This window comes from Homo sapiens, chromosome 9 (genome assembly GCF_000001405.40).
Source record: "Homo sapiens chromosome 9, GRCh38.p14 Primary Assembly".
Taxonomy (NCBI): domain Eukaryota; kingdom Metazoa; phylum Chordata; class Mammalia; order Primates; family Hominidae; genus Homo; species Homo sapiens.
The window spans coordinates 92110553-92131445 of record NC_000009.12 but is presented as its reverse complement, the minus strand read 5'-3'; the positions used below and the strand labels follow the sequence as shown (position 1 = coordinate 92131445).

At 41.5% G+C, this 20893-nt stretch overlaps 1 protein-coding gene and 2 pseudogenes across 5 annotated transcripts in view, besides 1 other annotated feature; 1 reads left to right on the top strand and 2 right to left on the bottom strand.

Annotated features, from left to right (window-relative positions):
• Window positions 15471–15530: an enhancer, noted in NCBI's record as "active region_28589". NCBI's record gives its function as "activates an Ori minimal core promoter by ATAC-STARR-seq in GM12878 lymphoblastoid cells {active_cell/tissue: GM12878}" and the evidence as "EXISTENCE:reporter gene assay evidence [ECO:0000049][PMID:35858748]".
• Window positions 16033–20893, top strand: part of SPTLC1 (serine palmitoyltransferase long chain base subunit 1) — an 84267-nt gene continuing 79406 nt past the window's right edge. For 4 of the 5 annotated variants that reach the window (NM_001281303.2, NM_006415.4, NM_001368272.1 and 1 more), the window contains exons 1-2: window positions 16033–16132; window positions 18884–18991. In NM_001281303.2, coding sequence (NP_001268232.1) covers window positions 16076–16132; window positions 18884–18991 — 165 coding nt within the window. In that variant the 5' untranslated portion in view covers window positions 16033–16075. Of the gene's footprint in view, window positions 16133–16379; window positions 16525–18883; window positions 18992–20893 lie in introns of all 5 variants that reach the window. The other variant, NM_001368273.1, reaches the window with a different exon arrangement.
• MTND4P15 (MT-ND4 pseudogene 15) lies at window positions 19614–20581 on the bottom strand (annotated as a pseudogene).
• Window positions 20578–20871, bottom strand: MTND4LP7 (MT-ND4L pseudogene 7; annotated as a pseudogene).

Genomic DNA, 20893 nt, shown 5'->3' with positions numbered 1-20893 from the left:
TCCAAACTTAGAGAAAGACATGAATACCTAGGAACATGAAGATCAAGAATACTTAGAATATTCAAGCCAAATAAAATTACCTCAAAGTATACAATAAGCAAACTCTCAAAGGTCAAAGATAAAGAAAGGATCCTAAAAGCAGCAAGAGAAAAGAAGCAAATAACATAAAAAGGAGCTCCAACACACTTGGCAGCAGACTTCTCAGTGGTAACCTTACCAGCCTGAGGAAATAGAATGACATTCAAAGTATCAAAGGAAGAAAAACTTTGGACTAGAATATTATACCCAGCAAAATTATCCTTCAACATAAGAAGAAATAAAGACTTTCTCAGACAACAAAAGCTAAGGGATTTTGTCAACACCAGACCTGTTTTACAAGAAGTTCTTCAATATGAAAGAAAAGGGCATTAATGAGTAACAAGAAAGCAACTGAAGATATAAAACACACTGGTAAACTTAAGTACACAGACAAATACAGAATAGCCTAATACTGTAATTGCATTATTTAAACCACTCATATCATTAGTAGGAAGACTAAAAGACAAATCTATCAAAAACAATAATGACGGCCAGGTGTGGTGGCTCACACCTGTAATCCCAGCACTCTGGGAGGCTGAGGTGGGTGGATCACGAGGTCAGGAGATCAAGACCATCCTGGCTAACACGGTGAAACCCCATCTCTACTAAAAATACAAAAAATTAGGCGGGCATGGTGGTGGGTGCCTGTAGTCCCAGCTATATGGGAGGCCGAGGCAGGAGAATGGCGTTAACCCAGGAGGTGGAGCCTGTAGTGAGCCGAGATCATGCCACTGCACTCCAGCCTGGGTGACAGAGTGAGACTCCATCTCAAAAAAGAAAAAAAAATGATAATAATAATGACAACATGGGAGGCGAGGTGGGTGGGTCACTTGAGGTCAGGAGTTTGAGGTGAGCCTGCCCAATATGGCAAAACCCCATCTGTACTAAAAATACAAAAATTAGCCAGGCATGGTGTTGCACACCTGTAATCCCCACTACTCAGGAGGCTGAGGCATGAGAATCGCTGGAACCCAGGAGGCGGAGGTTGCGGTGAGCTGAGATCAGACCACTGAACTCCAGCCTGAGCGACAGAGTGAGACTTGACCTCAAACTAATAATAATAAAAACGACAGTTTCTTAAGAGATAGATGATATAAAAAGATATAATTAGAGAAACCCTCCCCCCAAAAAAAGGCAAAAAAACAGCCATTGAGGCAAGGGAAGATGGAGTAACACTGTAGAGTTTTTTTTTTTTGAGTTTTCTCTTTGCTTGTTTGCTTTTTTTCCTTTTTTCTACTCAGTGTTAAGTTTTCATCAGTTTAAAATAACTAGTTATAAGCTGTTACTAGCAACCCTTATAATAACCACAAAGCAAAGACCTAGAATAGATACACAAGAAATAAAAAACAAGAAATTAAAACATATTACCAGGGAAAATCACTTAAAAGGAAGACAGAAAGGAAGTAAGAAAGGAAGAGGACCAACAAAACAACCAGAAAAAATTAACAGAATGGCAGCAGTAAGTTCTTACCTATCAATAATTACATTGAATGTCAATGTACTAAGTTCTACAAATTAAAAGACATAGAGTGGCTGAATAAATTTTTAAAAGACACAATTATATGCTGCCTACAAGAAACTCTCTTCACCTATAAAGACACACATAGACTGAAAATGCAGGGATGGAAAAAGACATTCCATGCAAATGAAACACCCCCAAAAAGAGCAGGAATAGCTATATGTATTTCAGATAAAATAGATTTTTAAGTCAAAACCTGTGAAAAGAGACAAGGAAGGTCATTATATGATGATAAAGGGGTCAATTCAACAAGAGGTTATAATAATTGTAAACATTAATGTACCCAGTGCTGGAACACCCAGATAGATAAAGCAAATACTATTAGGATTAAAGAGAGAGAGTTCCCAATACAATAACAGCTGGGGACTTTGACACTCCACTTTCAGCATTGCATAGAAAATCTAGACAGACAATCATCAACAACAACAACAACAAAAACCCTTATCAGACTTAATCTGCATGATAGACCAAATGGACCTAATAGACATTTACAGAATAGTTAATTCAACAGCCACAGAATACACATTATTCTCCTCAGCACATGAAATATTTTCAGAGACAGACCATATGTTATGCCACAAATCTTAACAAAGTTTTAAAAATTCAAATAATAGCAAGTAATTTTTCTGATCACAATGGAATACAACTAAAAATCAATAACAAGCAGAACTTTGGAAAGTAGAGATATTGGCCGGGCACTCACACCTATAATCCCAGCACTTTGGGAGTGTGAGGTGGGTGCATCACTTGAGGTCAGGAGTTTGAGACCATCCTGGCCAACATGGTGAAACCTCGTCTCTACTAAAAATACAAAAATTAGCTGGACATGGTGACATGTGCCTGTAATCCCAGCTACTCAGGAGGCTGAGGCAGGAAAATCGCTTGAACCTGGGAGGCAGAGGTTGCAGTGACCCAAGATTGACCCCCTGCACTCCAGCCTGGGCACCAGAGGGAGACTCCATCTCAAAACAAAAAAAAAAAATAGAATCACATGGAAATTTGACAACATGCTTCTGAACAACCACTGGGTCAATGAAGAAATTAAGAAGAAAATTTAAAAATTTCTTGAAAGAAATGGAAATGAAAACACAACAGAACGAAACCTATGGTATACAACAAAAGCAGTGCTAAGATAAAAGTTTATTAGAATAAATGCTTACATCAAAAAAGTAGAAAACTTCAATTAAACAACCTAACAATGCATCTAAAAAGCTAGAAAAGCATGGCCGGGTGTGGTGGCTCATGCCTGTCATTCCAAAACTTTGGGAGGCCAAGGCGGGTGGATTGCTTGAGCTGAGGAGTTTGAGACCAGCCTGGGCAACATGGTGAAACTCCATCTCTACAAAAAATAGCCAAGCATGGTGGTGCACACCTGTAGTCTCAGCTACTTGGGAGGCTGAGGTGGGAGGATTGCTTGAGCCTGGGAGGCGGAGGTTGCAGTGAACGGAGATTGTGCCACTGCACTCCAGGCTGGGTGACAGAGTGAAACCCTGTCAAAGAACTAGAAAAGTAAGAGCAAACCAAACCCAAAATTAGAAGAAAAGAAATAATAAAGATCAAGCAGAAATAAATAAAATTGAGACAAATAATATACAAGATAAAAAAGTTGGAGTTTTGAAAAGAAAAACAAAATCTACAAACTTTTAGCCAGATTAAGAAAAAAAGGAGAGAAGAACCAAATAAATAAAATCAGAGAGAAACAGGAGACATTACAAATAAACCCCAGAAATTCAACGATCACTAGAGGCATAAGCTCTATGCCAATAAATTGAGAAGCATATAAAAAATGGATAAATTCTTAGACACATACAACCTACAAAGATTGAACCATGAAGAAATCCACAACTCAAATAGACCCGTAACAAGTAACAAGATTGAAGCCTATAATAAAAAAAGTCTCCTATCAAAGGAAAGCCCAGGATCTGATAACTTCACTGCTGAATTCTACCAAACATTTAAAGACGATCTAATACCAGTCCTATTCAAACTATTCCAAAAAATCAAAGAGGAGGGAATGCTTTCAGATTCATTCTAAGAGGCCAATATTACCCTGATAACAAAACCAGAAAAAGACACAACAAAAAGGCTGACCCAGTGGTTCGCACTTGTAATTCCAGCACTTTGGGAGGCTTAGGCAGGAGGATTACTTTTGGTCAGGAGTTTGAGACCAGCCTAGGCAACATAGCAAGACCCTGTCTCTACAAAAAAAAAAAAAAAAAATTTAGCTGGCTGTGGTGACATATGTCTATAGTTCGAGATACTCAGGGGTCTGACACAGGGAAAACTGCTTATGTCCAGAAGTTTGACATTTTTGAGGTTACAGTGAGCTATGATCATGCCACCGTACTCCAGCCTGGGTGACAAAGCAAGACTCGTCTCAAAAAAAAAAAAAATCAAAATGGTAAATTTTAGGTATATTTTACCATAATAAAAATAAAGGAAGTTAGTTGGACTACAAAAAAATAAATTTCCTTCAATACAGAATACGGGAGGAGTTCATAGTGTTGAGATAATGGGAAGGAAAATACCAAGAAGTAAGAGGTTGATAATATGGCCCAAGTCAAGATAAATACTCACAACATATTGCCAATAAGAAAAGGCATTGCAATTCTCCCACTGACATAGAAGGAATACTGACATAGAAGAAAATGACCTAATATGATGACCTTTTACCAGTGATATGGTTTGGCTCTGTGTCCCCATCCAAATCTCTTGTTGAATTGTAACCCCTAATGTTGGGAGAGGGATGTGGTGGGAGGTCATCGGATCATGGGGGTGGATTTCCCCCTTGCTGTTCTCGTGATAGTGAGTTCTCACGAGATCTGGTTGTTTGAAAGTGTGTAGCACTTCCCTCTTCGCTTTCTCTCTCCCGTCACCATGTGAAGATGTGCTTGCTTCCCCTTCACCTTCGGCCATGATTGTAAATTTCCTGAGCCCTCCCCAGCCATGCCTCCTGTACAGCCTGTGGAAATGAGTCAATTAAACATTTTTAAATAAACTGTCCAGTCTCAGGTAGTTTTTTGTTTTTTGTTTTTTTGTTTTGAGACAGGGTCTCTCTCTGTTGCCCAGGATGGAATGCAGTGGTGCAATCTCGGCTCACTGCAACCTCCGCCTCCTAGGTTCAAGTGATTCTCATTCCTCAGCCTCCGGAGTAGCTGGGACTACAGGCACACACCACCACATCCAGCTAATTTTTTGTATTTTAGTAGAGACAGGGTTTCACCATGCTGCCCAGGCTGGTCTCGAACTCCTGAACTCAGACAATCCGCCTGCCTCGGCCTCCCAAAATGGTGGGATTACAGGCGTGAGCCACTGCACCCAGCCTCAGGTAGTTCTTTACAGCAATGTGAGAACAGACTAATACAACCAGCAAGAGAAAAACCTAAAGTAAAACAGCAAAAAGTGCAACCAACATTTATACATAAGGATTATATACAATGTGTAACAATAGTAAAGTGTTAAATTCTAAAAGATGGCTTTAGATTTGTGGATAGACTTTTGTTTGTTTCATTTCAGATCATGACCTTGAGCTGCATGACAGTCTTTTTTATTTTTGAAATTTTCTGTAGAGATGGGATCTTGCTACGTTGCCCAGGCTGGTCTTGAACTCCTGGGCTCAAGTGATCCTCTCCCCTTGGCCTCTCAAAGCGCTGGGATTACAGGCATAAACCATGCCACCCAGCCCCGCTTCTTCTAATGAGGTAGCTGTCATTTACATTCTCATTTAATAGAGCAAAGTGCTGCCTCATTCAGCAGAGCTTTTCACGGGAGGTCTGATGAGCAAGAAGAACAGGCTTGTGAGAGCAAATAACTAAGACCATAAGCAGAGGCCTGAGGTGGAGCTTCCAGCACAGACTGAGCAACTCAGGCCCTCCTCAGACAGGCCACCTGCACATGAGTATCTAAGAGGGGACCAGAAGACCCCTATGACGGCACCCACCCTGGAGCAGCATTCAGGGAGAACTGGAAGGGCTTTATGGGGCTAAAGAATTGATGGGCAATTGGAGTGGGTTGTGGGAAAGTATTAAATTGTGTGAGCTTTGCCTTCAAGAACATGTTTTATCTTTAGCTGATGGCGACACTGCTAGAAGTAAATAAGCTCTTCTCATGAACCAAAATTCCCAGTGGCACTATGGAGTCCTGGTTAAGTTGACAGGTCTCTGGCTGAGGGAATACAGAATCCACTTTTAGTAGAAACAGGGTTTCACCACGTTGGCCAGGATGGTTTCAATCTCTTGACCTCATGATCTGCCAGCCTTGACCTCCCAAAGTGCTGGGATTATAGGTGTGAGCCACTGTGCCCAGCCTACAATAGGTTTTTAATTTCAGTTTCTGACACTTATTAAAAATAAACTTTTGTATCTTTAGATTTATAAAAAAAAATGCAAATACAGCTGATATACTCACACGCAGTTTACCTGATCACTAACATCTTACATATTATAGTTTATTGATCTCATTTTGTTAGTGCATATATTGTTTTCCTGATTTTGTGTGTTCTTTGTAGCTCACTGAACATCTTTAAGATGATTACTTTGAATTCTTTGTCAGACAACTCATAGATCTCCATCATTTTTTTTTTTCCTTTTTTTTTTTTTTTGACACATGGTCTTAATGTGTCACCCGGGCTGGAGTACAGTGGCATAATCATGGCTCATTGCAGCTCGACCTGCCAGGCTCATGTTATCCAAATGCCTTGGTCTTGCAAGTAAGTAGTGGGGACTACAGGCACATGCTACCACATCCAGCTAATTGTATTTTATTATTTTATTATTTATTTTGTTATTTTTTCTAGAGACAGGGTCTATGTTGCCCAGGCTGGTCTTTGACTCCTAGGCTCAAGTGATCCTCCCTCCTCAGTCTCCCAAACTACTGGGATTAGAGGTGTTGAGCCACTTTGCCTGGTGATCTCCATTTCTTTAGGGTTAATGTCTAGAGATTTGTTCCTTTGATAGGGCCATGTTTCCCTGTTTCATGGTATGCCTTGTGATTTTTTTTTTTTTTTTTTGAGACAGAGTTTCACTCTTGTCCCCAAGGCTGGGGTGCAATGGTGCAATCTTGGCTCACTGCAACCTCCGCCTCCTGGGTTCAAGAGATTCTCTTGCCTCAGCCTCCCGAGTAGCTGGGATTATAGGCGCCCTCCACCACATCCAGCTAATTTTTGTATTTTTAGTACAGACGGGGTTTCACCATGTTGGCCAGGCTGGTCTCGAACTCCTGACCTCAGGTGATCTGCCCGCCTCGGCCTCCCAAAGTGTTGGGATTATAGGCATGAGCCACCACACCCAGCCGTTTTTTTTTTGTTTTTTTTGTTTTTTTTTTTAAAGACAGGGTCTGGGCTGGGGTGCAGTGGCTTCATCACAGCTCACTGCAGCCTCAAACTCCTGGGCTCAGGCAATTCTCCTGCTTCAGCCTCCCCAGTAGCTGGGATAACAGGCATGCACCACCACAGCTGGCTAATTTTTTAAATTATTTGTAAAGATGAGGTCTCTCTGTGTTGCCCAGGCTGGCCTTGAACTCCTGGATTCAAGTGATCCTCCTGCCTTGGTCTCCCAAAGTGCTGGGATTACCCACACACGAGTGTCCCTTTGAACAGACGCTTACTGAAAAAAAAATTGTTCCTAAACCAGAAGAGGAGTTTGCAAAGAATGAAAGGATATCTCAGAAGAGACCAAAGAAACAGAAGGTTATGGCCAGGGAAGAAATTCAGCATAAAATAAATGCAAATAAAAATTAAAAATATGTGTACCCAGATATTACCAAGAAGTTATAGAAAATCAATACCTGAATGAGAACTAATACTCCTGAAGACAGTTAATAAATCAAATACTTGGAAACACTGAGGTAAGTATAATTGCATCCTCAGAGGAGCAAGTGATGTTGTTTTATATGCGTTACATTCAGTTTTTCTCCCCCCGGTTTTCCTACTGCCCCCCCAACCAGGTCATCATCTCCACCACTCCACCAAAACTGCTCTCACTGAGGTCATCTGAGATGCCCGCATTGCTAAAGGCGTGGTCAGTTCTTTGTCTACCTCTTGGCCTTTTAGCACTGCTCAACCAGATGGCCACTCCATTGTCCCAGAGCTCTCTCCTCGTTTTCTTTTCTTTTCTTTTTTTTAATCATTAATAACTTTATTTAAATATTCCAAAGATCCCAACCCCATTCAAAAATAAAAATTGTAAAGCACTCCATTCAATAAAAGCACAGAAGTCCCCCTCAATAATTAGTATGACAATTCACGATACAGCTCTTACTCTGGGAGAGTTTATTTTGCCCTTTATTCCAAAAGGTACAAAATCATCTGCGGCCTCAGATATTAACCCCATTCCATGCTAATGTCACACCACTAAGGTGCAACTCAGTGTAATTATTAAAGCTTATAACACACTTCCCCAAGAATTTATAGATTCTTTCTATAAATAATAATTTAAAAAACAGTGAACCTTAAGACCAATACATGCTTAACAAGAGACCTGAAATTTCTGCAAGGACACTTTTGTTTCTTGATAGAAGTATGACTTTTCAAAGTCTATTCCCAGCAACAGAAACACCAGACCCAGCTTGGCCAAATAAACAAAGTAAAACGAGTGATTTCTAACATGCTAAAAGAATACGTTTTCATCAGCTCCACAAGAAAGCAGTCCTGGTCATTCAGAAGGCTCCTATCATCCCACCAGTCTGCAGTCGTTAGAAATATATGCTTTACAGGCCACAGGCTGTTCTGGATTTGGTTTCAGACACCAGTGACCAGAAGAGGCCAGTTTTGCATGTGAGGGGTGTGGGCCCTCGCTGCCTTGGGCCTGCTCACTGGGGTGGGTGGACCCCTGCCGGGTCACAGCCTGCTGTCACGTCCGGACTGTTGGCCTCTTCTGCGTCCAGGCTGTTGGGCTCTCCTGCTCTCTGTCCCTCAGTCACCTCTCCTGGTTTTCCTCAGACCTTCCCAATGTTCCCATTCAGTCCCATTGGCTGGCCGTGCCCGGGTGCTCAGGCTTGAGCCTCTTCTCTCCCCATTCCTTCCTTAGGTGATCTCATCTGGAGTCTTTAAGTTCTCACCGTAACCTAGCACAGGCCTGGCTGCTTGCAGCTTGTACAGCCAGTAACAAGGATGAAGTACAGGGATAGGAAAGTGATTGTATTCGAGCTAGCAGTGGGAAAGTAGTCAGTTTACACCTCCAGAAACAGCTTCAAACTTTAGGCTGGGAAGAGGGGATTCAAAGCAGCACCTTGGAATGGGAGGCATGCTGGCGCAGTGCTGAGTATAAAGCCTGTGTGTCCTGTTACCACTGTAACAGGAGCTGTAGTCCACCTGGGGCCCCGGCTGGCATCATCTCAACATCTCATATGTTGCTGGTGGGAATGCAAAATGATGCAGCCACTCTGGAAAATAGTTTGGGCATTTTTTATAAAACTACCCTGTGATCCACCAATGGCAATCCTGGGCAAGTATCCCAGAAAAATGAAAATTGATGTTCACACAAAAATCTGTACACAAATGTTGATAGCATCTTTTATTCATGACAGCCTAAAACTGCAAACTACCCAAATGTCCTTCAGCACATGAATAGCTAAACAAACTGTGGTACACTCATACTATGGAATGCCACATGGCCATCAAAAGGAACAAACTAGTATTCCATGCAGCTTCCTGGATGAATCTGTAGGGAATTATGCTCAATGAAAAAAGTTAATCCCGAAAGGTCTCTTATTGTATGATTCCATTTACATAACATTCTAGAAACCCAGAACTATAGAAATGAAGAGAAGGTTAGTGGATGACATGGACCAACGAATAAAGGCAGGGAGAGGAAGGGAACTTGGTGTAGTGGTAAAAAGACAACACGAGAGATCCTTGTGGTAAATGAATGATTCTGTATCTTGACTGTCAATGTCAATATCCTGGTTGTGATATTGTACTATAGTTTTGCAAGATGTTAACACTGGGGAAAACTGGATATTGATGACATTGAAGGTAAAGAGTACATGTGCTATTTCTGAATTATTTCTTACAACTGCATATGAATCTAAAAATATCTCGGAATAAATAATTTTTAAAGCAATATTGTATTGGTATGGTACAAACAAATAGACTAATGGAATCAAATATAGACTCCAGATATAAATCCTATTAGGTTTGTTTCCCCAGAAGCAGACCACAAAACAAGGATTTGTGTAAAAGTAATTTATTAGTGAGCATTCTCAAGAAAAAAATGATAAAAGAGAGGGGAGTTGGGATGAGGAAGGGAAGGCTACTGGAGTGAGTTGAATGGTGGATCTCAAAAAGGCATGCCTATGTCCTAATCTCCATGTGATGGTTAGTTTTAGGTGTCAACTTGACTGGGCTAAGGGATTCTCACATAGCTGGTAATATTTATTTCTGGGTGCGTCTGTAAGGGTGTTTCCAGAAGAGATTAGCATTTGCATTCATAGACTAAATAAAGCAGATTGCCTTCACTAATGTGGGTGGGCATGATACAATCCATGGAAAGTTTGAGTAGAACAAAAAAGCAGAGGAAGGGTACATTTCATTCTGTGTAAGCTGGGACATCCATGTTCTCCTGCCCCTGGACTTTGGTCCTCCTGGTTCTTAAACCTTTGGGCGAGGACTGAATTACACCACTGATGTTCCTGGTTCTTCAATTTGCAGATGGCAGATTGTGTGACTTCTCAACTTCCATAATCATGTGAGCCTTTTTTTTTTTTTTTTGAGACAAAGTCTCGCTCTTGTCCCCCAGTCTGGGGTGCAGTGGCATAATCTCGGTGCACTGCAACTTCCGCCTCCCGGGTTCAAGCGATTCTGCTGCCTTAGCCTCCCAAGTAGCTGGGATTACAGGTGCGTACCACCATGCCCAGCTAATTTTTTGTATTTTAAGTAGAGACGGGGTTTCACTATGTTGGCTAGGCTGGTCTCGAACTCCTGACCTCAGGTGATACACCCGCCTCAGCCTCCCAAAGTGCTGGGATTACAGGCATGAGCCACTGCGCCTGGCCAAGCCAATCATTATAATAAATCTCCTCTTATGTAGAGATCTATATATGTTTTATTTATCCTGTTTCCCTGGAGAGCCCTATTATACCCCAGAGCATGTCAATGTGACCTTATTTGGTGGAAGGGTCCTAACAGATGTAATGAAGGATCTCAAGATGAGATCATCCTGAATTATCCAGGTGGGCCCTAAATCTAATGAGAAGTGACTTTATAAGAGACACAGAGGAGAGACACATACAGGAAGAGATGGCCATGAAAAGATTAAGGTAGAAATTACAGTGATGCTGCCACAAGCCAAGAATTCCTGGAGCCACCAGGACCTGGAAGGGGAAAGAATGATTCTCTCCTAGAGCCTTCAGAAAGAGAGTGGCTCTGTCAATACCATGATGTTGGACTTCTGATCTCCAGACTTTGGAGAAAAAAATTTTGTCTGTTTTAAGCCACATAGTTTGTGGCAATTTGTTATGGGAGCCCTAGAAAACTAATACAGATTTTGGTACCAGGAAGTGGGTGCTACTTTAATAAATACCTCAAATTGTGGAAGTGACTTTGGAACTGAGTAATAAATAGAGGTTGGATGGTTTTTGAGGTACTTGAGAGAAAAGTCATAGAATTTCTTGAAGAGACTGTTAGTGGAGTTATGGATTTTAAAGGCAATTCTGGTGAGGGAACAGAAGGAAGTGAAGAGCATGGTAGAGAATTCTTCCATCATCTTAGAAATGTATATCTCATCATGAGCAGAGTGTTAGTAGAAATACAGATGTTAAAAGTGGTTTATGTTGAAGGCTAAGAAGGAAATGAGGAACATGTTACTGGAAACTGAAGGCAAAGTGATCCTTGTGACACAGTGGCAAATAACTTGGATGAATTGTGTCCTTAGGTGGACAGCAGAATTTGTAGGCAATGAACTTGGATATTTAGCTGAGGAGATTTCTAAGCAAAGTGTTGAAGATGCAGCCTGGTTTCTTCATGCTGTTTGTAATGAAACAGAAAAGGAAATAAGCAAATTGAGGAAGGAGCTGTTAAGCAAAAAGAAACAACACTTGATGATTGGGAGCTTCTCGGCCTATTCAGATTGCAAAAGATGCTAAAATTGGGAAACTCACTGTTGGGAAAGTGTACTCTGGATACAGGGCCGAGGGTGTGCCTAGACAATATTGTGCTGAAGAGATCTGCTATACAACTGATGGATCCCTCAATTATCTCACGGATCCAAGGATAGATCCAGCGTTATCCAGGAAAGATCTGTGGGGGTTCTTTTATCTAATGGCATGGATCCCTGTGACATACATGGGAGCCTCAAAAGTTCTTGAGAAGGTTGTACCAGAAGAAACACTGTCAGCTTGGCCTGAAGGGGCTGAGACAGGACAAAGTGAAAGAGAGGCTGTCAGATATGCACAATTCTTCAGGCAAGAAGAGGACTGATAGAACTACTCAGGTATCAGCATGTGCTGCCCTTCAAGAAAAAGGAAGAATCACTATGAGGACAGGGTCATGGGCACAGGGGTAGAGGCTGAATGTTCAAGAGCAGAGACCTACCAAGTTGCCATGAGCAAAGAGGCCTATGAAGCCATGAGCCCAAAAGACACAGCTTCAAGCCACAGAGGATTATTCCCAGACCTTGAAACCAAATGACTTTGCCTTGTTGGATTTCTAACTTGCTTGGGATTGATGACCCTTTTATTCCTTCTAATTTCTCTGCTTTGCAGTGAGATTGTCTATCATATACGTGGCCCACCTTTGTGTTTTCGAAGCAGGTAACTTCTTTTCTAGTCTCACTAGTCAATAGATGCAGAGGAATTTTGCCCTTGCATAGCTCATACCCATAGACTCACCTACACCTGATTATTTATATGTGAATATTTGAGACTCTTTGAATTAATTTTTATGATATTTAGGTGAGAGTTAAGACTTTTGGAGATGTTGAGACGGAATGAATGTATTTTGCACATGAGGCAGATGTGAATTTGGAAGGCCAGAGGTTGGACTATAGTAGGTTAAATGGTAGAGCCCAAAAAGACATGTTAACATTCGAATCAGGGAATAGAACCTGGGAACATGGCCTATTTGGAAAAAGGTTCTTTACAGATGTAACTAAGTTAAGGCTCTCGCTGGAAGAGGCAAAAAAAGTCTTCTCCCCCCAGAGCCTTTGGAGGGAGTATAGCCCTGTCAACACCTTAATTTTGTACATCTGGCCTCCAGAAATGTGACAGAATAAATTTCTGCTGTTTCAAGGCACCCAGTTTGTGATCGTGTGTTACAGCAGCCCTAGGAAACTGATACAGAGGCCAAGCAAAAGTTCCAAATCAAGCAAAGTCCCACGGTGTATTCCTTCCAGTTATCCCAAAATATAACAATCCCAAAACAGTGGCTTAGAACAATAACAATCGTTTATTTTTGCCCACACATTTGGGTGTCATCTGGGCTTAGCTAGGCATACCTCACTCAGGGTCTCTCAGTGGTGGTAACCAGATGGTGGCTGGAACTGGAGCCACCTCGAAGGTGTCGTCCCTCACACGTCTGGTACCTGGACTAGTAAGACTCAAACAGCCAGGGACTGGGGCAGCTGGGGCCCCTTAGTCATCTCTTTCCCCTTCTATGTGGTTCTCACATGATCTTTCTACATGGCAGCTGTATTCTCTTATAGAAGCTGCCACAAAGATATGCCTTTTGATGAGTGTGTAAAAGAATTTGCAGATAGTACCATTGACTCAGAATTGCAGAGAGTATGGTGAAGTTCACCCCTCAGAGTTGTCTTGCTAAGTAGGGCAAGGAAGCTGCAATATTTATATCCCAGCTACCATCAGTAATCCACACTGGTAAGTACTGCCCAGGAGAAGATACATTCTCAGATACTTCCAACTCTCCAGGAGAGCAGGAAACGTGGGAATGGCAGCCTTCAAGGGGGTCCTCTGAGAAATGCAGGCGTGGCTGCTGGAAGGAAAGCACCCGGGGGAGGAAATGCACGCAAGCACAGGACTGTGAGCAGAGCACTGACACGGACTCCATATCGCCAGCTTATGTGGAAATGTAGCACATAGTGTAGCGGCATCATTATCTGGGGTAATACCTGAGGTTCATTGTCCCACAGCCATGGAAAACTAGGACGCGACACACCACAGTGAGGTTAAGAGCAGAAGTTTAATAGGCAAACGAAAGAGAAGAGCTATCTGTGCAGAGAAAGGGGTCCCAGAGAAAATGGGTTGCCAGTTCTGCGGTGAAACGCACAGGGTTTTATAGATGAGCTTGAGGAAGTGGCGTTTGATTTACGTAGGGAATGAAAGACTGGTTGGACCAGGTGTGCCATTTGCATAGTGCATGAAGAAGCTGGCCTTCCCACCCTAATATTTTATTCTGCAGATGGCTTCTCTACCTGACTGATGCCATGTTGCCTGTTCCTTCACTGTACACGTGGTGACAAAGAAAATGGAAGATGGAGTCTCCATATTGAACATACCTGGCTTCCAGGTAGTCTTTTTCTATCGGCACAACTGCCAGCATTCTCCCGTGCACTGCCAGCTTGCTTATCTATGTTTGTAGCTCAATTTTTCAGGCTGCTCTTTGCAAAAAAGAAATAATTTTGGGGTTGCTTTTTGTTCAGAAAGAAGCTCTGCTGAGGACTCTCTTACCTTCACTATCTGCCTAAATAATTTCTTTTTGGCTCCTGTATCAATAGCACTGGTACCATTTCAGAATTCTGGGGAAAGTCAGGGTTACTCAAATAAATGGCACTCAAAAAATTGTTATTCCTTTAGAAAAAAACATAATTAAGTCCCTTAACTCTCATTATCCAAAAATATAGTTTCCAGAGTAAAGAGCTAATTGCAAATAACAACAAACTGCTGCAAGAATGGTTGGAAACCATAGATGTGGTGAAGAAGGCCTTTCTAAGCAATATGCAGATCCAGAGGCAAAAAACAGACTGAAGCACTACATAAAATTTAAAATTAAAGTATGATGAAAGAGCAGAAACAACTAGGCGGCAACTGAGCAAAAATATTTTTCACATATGAAACAGAAAAATATAAGATATTCAGAATGTATAGAGTTCCTACAAATCCATAAGAAGGCAAAAATAACCAATAGAAAAATGGATTAAGAATATGAATTGGCGATTCATACAGTCTATAAATGCCAATAAACATATAAGAAGCTGCACAACCTCATGAGTAACCAGAAGCATCAATAATAAAGGATAGTGAGGTATCATTTTATCTCCATTAAACTGGCAAATTTTTTTAAAAGATTGATAATATCCATCATGGACTAGAGCATAGAAAAACTTCCAAATTATTTTAATTGGTTGAGCCATTTTGGCAGTACTTATCAAAATTAATAACGTGCATAGTCTTCAGATATATCCCATGTTGAAAAAACTGGTCAGAAAAACTCCAACATGCACAGAAAGATATACACACAAGGAACATCGACAGTTATGGCAGCATTATTTGTAATAGGGGAAAGGTGGGAACAACATAAGTATTCACCAATAGGGAAACGTTTACATAAAATGGAACGATGAATATACATAAATTATTCCATGGAAGTCTTCAGCCATTAAATATGAGATATATTAGGAAAAAAATGCTAGAAAAAAAATTTAAAAAAAGTTGTAGAAAAGTCTTGTCCCTATGATCTCAATTATATTTAAGAAATCCAATCCAATTAAGTATGTGCGCGTGCATACTGTTTGCATATGCATTGGAAGGCTCTAAAAGGTTCTTTACCAAACTGCTATATGATTTAATACCTGCAAAGCCTTGGCCTATGTCTGACAAAACAGGAAGTGCTATATGGGTTGGCTATTTTTGTGTATAATTATGCATTTCTTAATGATAATGCATTGCTGGATTACTTATGCTACTAAACGTAAACGTATTGGCCAGGCGCGGTGGCTCACGCCTCTAATCCCAGCACTTTGGGAGGCCGAGGCAGGCGGATCACCTGAGGTCAGGAGTTTGAGACCAGCCTGACCAACATGGAGAAACCCCGTCTCTACTAAAAATACAAAATTAGCCAGGCGTGGTAGCCCACGCCTGTAATCCCGGCTACTCGGGAGGCTGGGGCAGGAGAATCGCTTGAACCCGGGAGGCGGAGGTTGCGGTGAACCGAGATCACGCCATTGCACTACAGCCTGGGCAACAAAAGCGAAACTCCGTCTCAAAAAAAAAAAAATAAAGTAAACGTATTGCAATCATTTTAACTCTCTGCGCCCAGCTGATGACCAAGTGTAAGGCCCGTTCATTACTACTTTCTCCATCCTGAATCCAGCAGGGAGGGTAATAGGACACAAGGTAAACAATTCTTGGAAAAACTGCGGCATCCCACCTGACCCCGTCCAGCCTCCTGTCAACCAGTGCGCAAGTGCGAGTAGGCGGTGCCCAGCGCTCCGCCGCCCCGCCCTCTGCGGAGGTGATAACGACACTGAGCAGCGACGCGCACTTTTGGGACGCGCTTGTGACCCGCCTTCCGGAAGGAAGCGGCTAACTATGGCGACCGCCACGGAGCAGTGGGTTCTGGTGGAGATGGTACAGGCGCTTTACGAGGTGGGCTCCGCGCCATTAGCGGTCCGCGACCACACCCGGGCCCGGGGAGGGTGGGAGGACGCGTGTGGATTTGTGGCCTGAGACCTCGGCGGGACTGGCTCGGTCACGCCCAGACTCGGTGCCTCTTGCTGGAAGGACTGCCGGGAGCTTCTAGTCCCAGCGGTTGAGTGTAGGGAGGAACGGGCGGGGGCGGGGGCTGGGACTGAGGGTCTCGGTTTGAATTCTTATGCTCCGGGTCCCCTGGAAGCTCCGGAAAGGAACACGTGTAAGGGGACGCAGGAGACAGGTCTGCAAAAACCAGAGTTTAGACGGACGATAAAACGGAGTGGTGAAAATGAGTGGAACACCTTCGTCTGGGAAGGTCCTAAGGAAGTCAGCTCTTTGGAACTACGGTACAGTTCGTTGGGGAATAAAATTGTAATAAATTGGAGTTTGTTTTTGTCGAAAAGAAATCAAGTGACTTAGGATTTGTGAATAAAAAATAGTTTGTCATTCTTCTGCGTACATCAGTTTTCTGTCTTATAAAGATACAACTAGTTTAGTCGATTTTTATTTATTTATTTTTGTTTTTTTTTTTTGAGACGGTGTTTCGCACTTGTTGCTCAAGCTGGAGTGCAAGGGCGTGATCTCGGCTCACTACAACCTCCGCCTCCCGGGTTTAAGCGATTCTCCTGCCTCAGCTTCCCAGGTAGCTGAGATTACAGGCATGTGCCACCATGCCCGGCCAATTTTGTATTTTTATTAGAGACGGGGTTTCTGCATGTTGGTCAGGCTGGTCTCGAACTCCCGACCTCAGGTGATCCGCCCGCCTTGGCCTCCCAAAGTGCTGGGATTATAGGCTTGAGCCACTGCACCTGGCCGTAGACTTTTAAAGGAAGAATAGTTAAGAGTTTTTTGAAGCCTAGTTATTTCAGATACATAAGATAATAAGAAACCAGAATGTCAATCTTAGTGTTCATTCATTTAATAACTGAGAGTCCCCGTGCTGTCTTGCAGAGCTATTCATTGGGCACTGAAGAACTTATTTTATTTTATTTTATTTTTTAAAGACAGGGTTTCACTCTGTCGCCCAGGCTAGAGTGCAGTGGTGCGATCAGCTCACTGCTGCGTTGACCTCCCAGACTCAAGCGATCCTCCCACCTCAGACTCCCGAGTAGCTGGGACCACATACCACCATGCCCAACTAATCTTTTTTTTTTTTTAATAGAGACGGGGGCTTGCTGTGTTGCCCAGCCTGGCCTCGAACTCCTGGCCTCAAGTAATCCTCCTGCTTTGGCCTCCCAAAGTGCTGGGATTACAGGCATGAGCTACCACACCCAGCTGCAACTGAATTTTTAATTTAACTTAAATAGCCACGTGTAACTTAGTGACTGTCCACATTGGACCACACAGATCTAGATGCTAGGGATAGTGCGGTGAACAAATAGGCAGAAGTCCCTGTGCTTAAAGAGCTTACATTCATTTCAAGTGAATTTCACTTTACTTTTGATGATTTAATATCACCAAACTTAATATCACCGTCTACTGGTAGGGGTAATGACAGTGTCTTCCATTGCAGGACATACTGGGAATTTTATCTTGAAACAGCAGAGACAGCAGATGTGGCTCTGTCTTATGCTCATGTATTAAGTGATGCCCAGTATTAGGTTAACTGTAGTGACCTAAAATGAGCCACTAAAATTGAATGATCTTTTTTATAAATGATTTTTTAAAGAAATGGATTATTTTCTGTTAAATGTTGTTTGCTCCCTTTTTGAAGACTGACAGTAGTGTAACTTCTCATTCCCCGAAACTGTCCAACAGTGAGACTTGGGAGAACTCCTGTATGTAACATTTCCTGGGAAGGAAAAGAAGTGGTGTTTGTGATTTTTATTAATTCACTAGAGAGAGAGTTTCTCAGCTTTTCTTAGGGTGATTTCTTTTTGGAGTGGGCTCTTAACTAGTGGCTGGGGCAGATGTTTGCTTGCTAGAATCCAACTATTGAGAAAACTAAAAGGGTATTTAGACTTATTCATAAATGAATTGTATTTAGGGGGATGAGCAAATTTTAAAATTCATCATAAACTTCTTACTCCCAAATCCTATGCGTGTTGAATGTAGAATTTGAGTAGTCTTGTATAGTGTACCCAAAAAAGAACCACTGAAATTAAATAATCCGATGGTTAATATTGGGATTCTGTGTTAGATTTTATTTATTTATTTATTTGAGACGGAGTTTTGCTCCTGTTGCCCAGGCTGGAGTGCAGTGGTGTGATCTCGGCTCACCACAACCTCCACCTCCTGGGTTCAAGCGATTCTCCTGCCTCAGCCTCCCAAGTAGCTGGGATTACAGGTATGCGCCACCAGACCCAGCTAATTTTGTATTTTTAATAGAGACAGGGTTTCTCCATGTTGGTCAGGCTGGTCTCAAACTCCCGCCCTCAGGTGATCTGCCCACCTTGGCCTCCCAAAGTGCTGGGATTACAAGTATGAGCCACCACGCCTGGCCTAGATTTTATTTTTTTAATTTTAATTTTTATTCCCAAAGAAGTTTTAAAAGCTAAAAATATTAGGGGTTTTTCATGTGAGGGAGAAATTGCCTGCTATTAGAAATGGGGAAAGGAATGAATAGAAATTAAGGGAGCTTCGAAAGTAAATTGTTAAGAATAGGCTAAAAGTCACAGGAGGCAGTATATGCAGGTGTAGTAAATTTTATGTGCAGGTGTTAGAAGTGTATGTTTCATATCTTACTTGTTTTTGACTCACTCTTAGGCTCCTGCTTACCATCTTATTTTGGAAGGGATTCTGATCCTCTGGATAATCAGACTTCTTTTCTCTAAGACTTACAAATTACAAGAACGATCTGATCTTACAGTCAAGGTACGAAATTAAATCTCTGTTTTAATTATTGGGTATGTGATTATAGTTGCTATGTCTTTCCAGAAAGGATTTGTGGTGGCTCAACCATGTGTGTTAAAGCATTTTCTGTAATGTAAGGAAATCAAGGGGAATGAATTATTAGGGTAGGCAAAATATGGGGAAATCTAGAAATAAAGTCAGTACCCAAATGAAGACCATATTATGGTCTTGGATACTTTGCTAGGAGTAAACAGCAGTCTTGCAAATAGATGGTTAGAGGGAAGCATGGGCAACTACTGGAGTTTGAATATTCATAAGTGTTGTGTGAGTTGCTGCAGAATAGCACAACTATTTCTGAAGTATGGGATAAAGATTCCCCTGTGGTCTTCTTAAAGGAGAGTCAGAGTAGAAAAGAATCCTACTCATACCCATCTCAAATTGAATTTTTATGTGTATGGTAAATCAAAAAAGAATTCTGAGCATAGAAGTTAAATTTTCATAAATTGTCAAGTCACCCACAAAACTACATGGAAAAGAACCTCTAGCTCTAGTGATAAGGAAAGAGGCGAGGGTGGTTAGTGCACAAAACTCACAAGTGATTGTTTTTATTCTAGCCACAACGAGACATGGTATTTCTAGCAGTGTATTCACTGTGACTTTTGCATTGCAGCAGACAATTTTGATATTGCCGAAGTTGAAGTAAAGTGACTGCGCCTGAAAAGCTTCAGGGGGTTTGAATAAGGATAGCTATAATAACAAGTGCTATGTGGCTTACGGAGGAATGAGTGATAAGTGATTTTAAATCAGTTTGTCTTAGACAAATAGAGCTTGTTATAACTATTCCTCATAAGGATAGTATGAGGAAGGGGTAGGATATATATTCTATTAGGGGGCTGAGGATGAGGGTAAGTCATATGATACCGTAGCCTCCTAACTACTGAGCTGGCAATAGAGACTTCTATGTGGGCTTTAGGGAGTCATAGGTGAAGTTCGTATAGGGGTATTTTTACTATAAAAGCCATAATACATGCTAGTCATATAAGGTTGTTAGATCAGAAGTTTAATAGTTCTTGATTAGTAAACATTATTATTAGGATATTTAGTGAACCTGAGCTATTTCAGGTGTGGATGAGTGTAATAAGTAAGGGAAGGGATCCTACTAGTGTGTAAAATAAGTATGAGCTTGCATTAGGCATTCTGGTTGGTTACCTCAGCAGGTAATAATGATTAGGGTAGGGATGAGTGTAGCTTCGAAAAGAATGTAAAGTATGACTAGTTCTGTGGCTGTAAATGCTGTAATTTAAAAAAGTTGTAGGAAAATTAATTTGGAAATACGGAGTTTTTTTCCATAAGGGTGATTCATTAGATAGGTGATGTTGGCCTGCTAGGATTATAAGAGGTAGTAGTCAGGCTGTTTGGATTAGAAGAGGTGATGTTAATGCGTCAGAAGAAAAAGTTAATGAGAAGTTAGATGAATTATTGTTTGGTTGATTAAAAAATAATAGGGTAATGAGGCTGATGAATAGGCTATGAGTAGCTATATTCAGACTATAGAGTTTTTGGAGAGTTATATTGTAACAGTATAATTGTTGGAATAATAATTTTTGGCATTGGAGTAAATTTAGATTTTGTACATAGTCTAGGCCTTATGCGTTGGAGATTGAGACTAGGAAAGCAAGGCCTACTGCGGCTTTGCAGGCAGCAAATACTAAGAGGATAATGGGTATTATGAATCCTAGAGTGAAATGCATGTTTAAAATTATGAGTGTATTTATGATAAATATTGATAGTATGATGCCTTCTAGGCATAATAGAGATGGTATTAGGTGGGATCGATAGATTAGTACTCCCAGCAGTGCTATGGTATATGCTAATATAATGTTAATATAAATAAATGGCATTTGGTAAATATGGTCTATCATA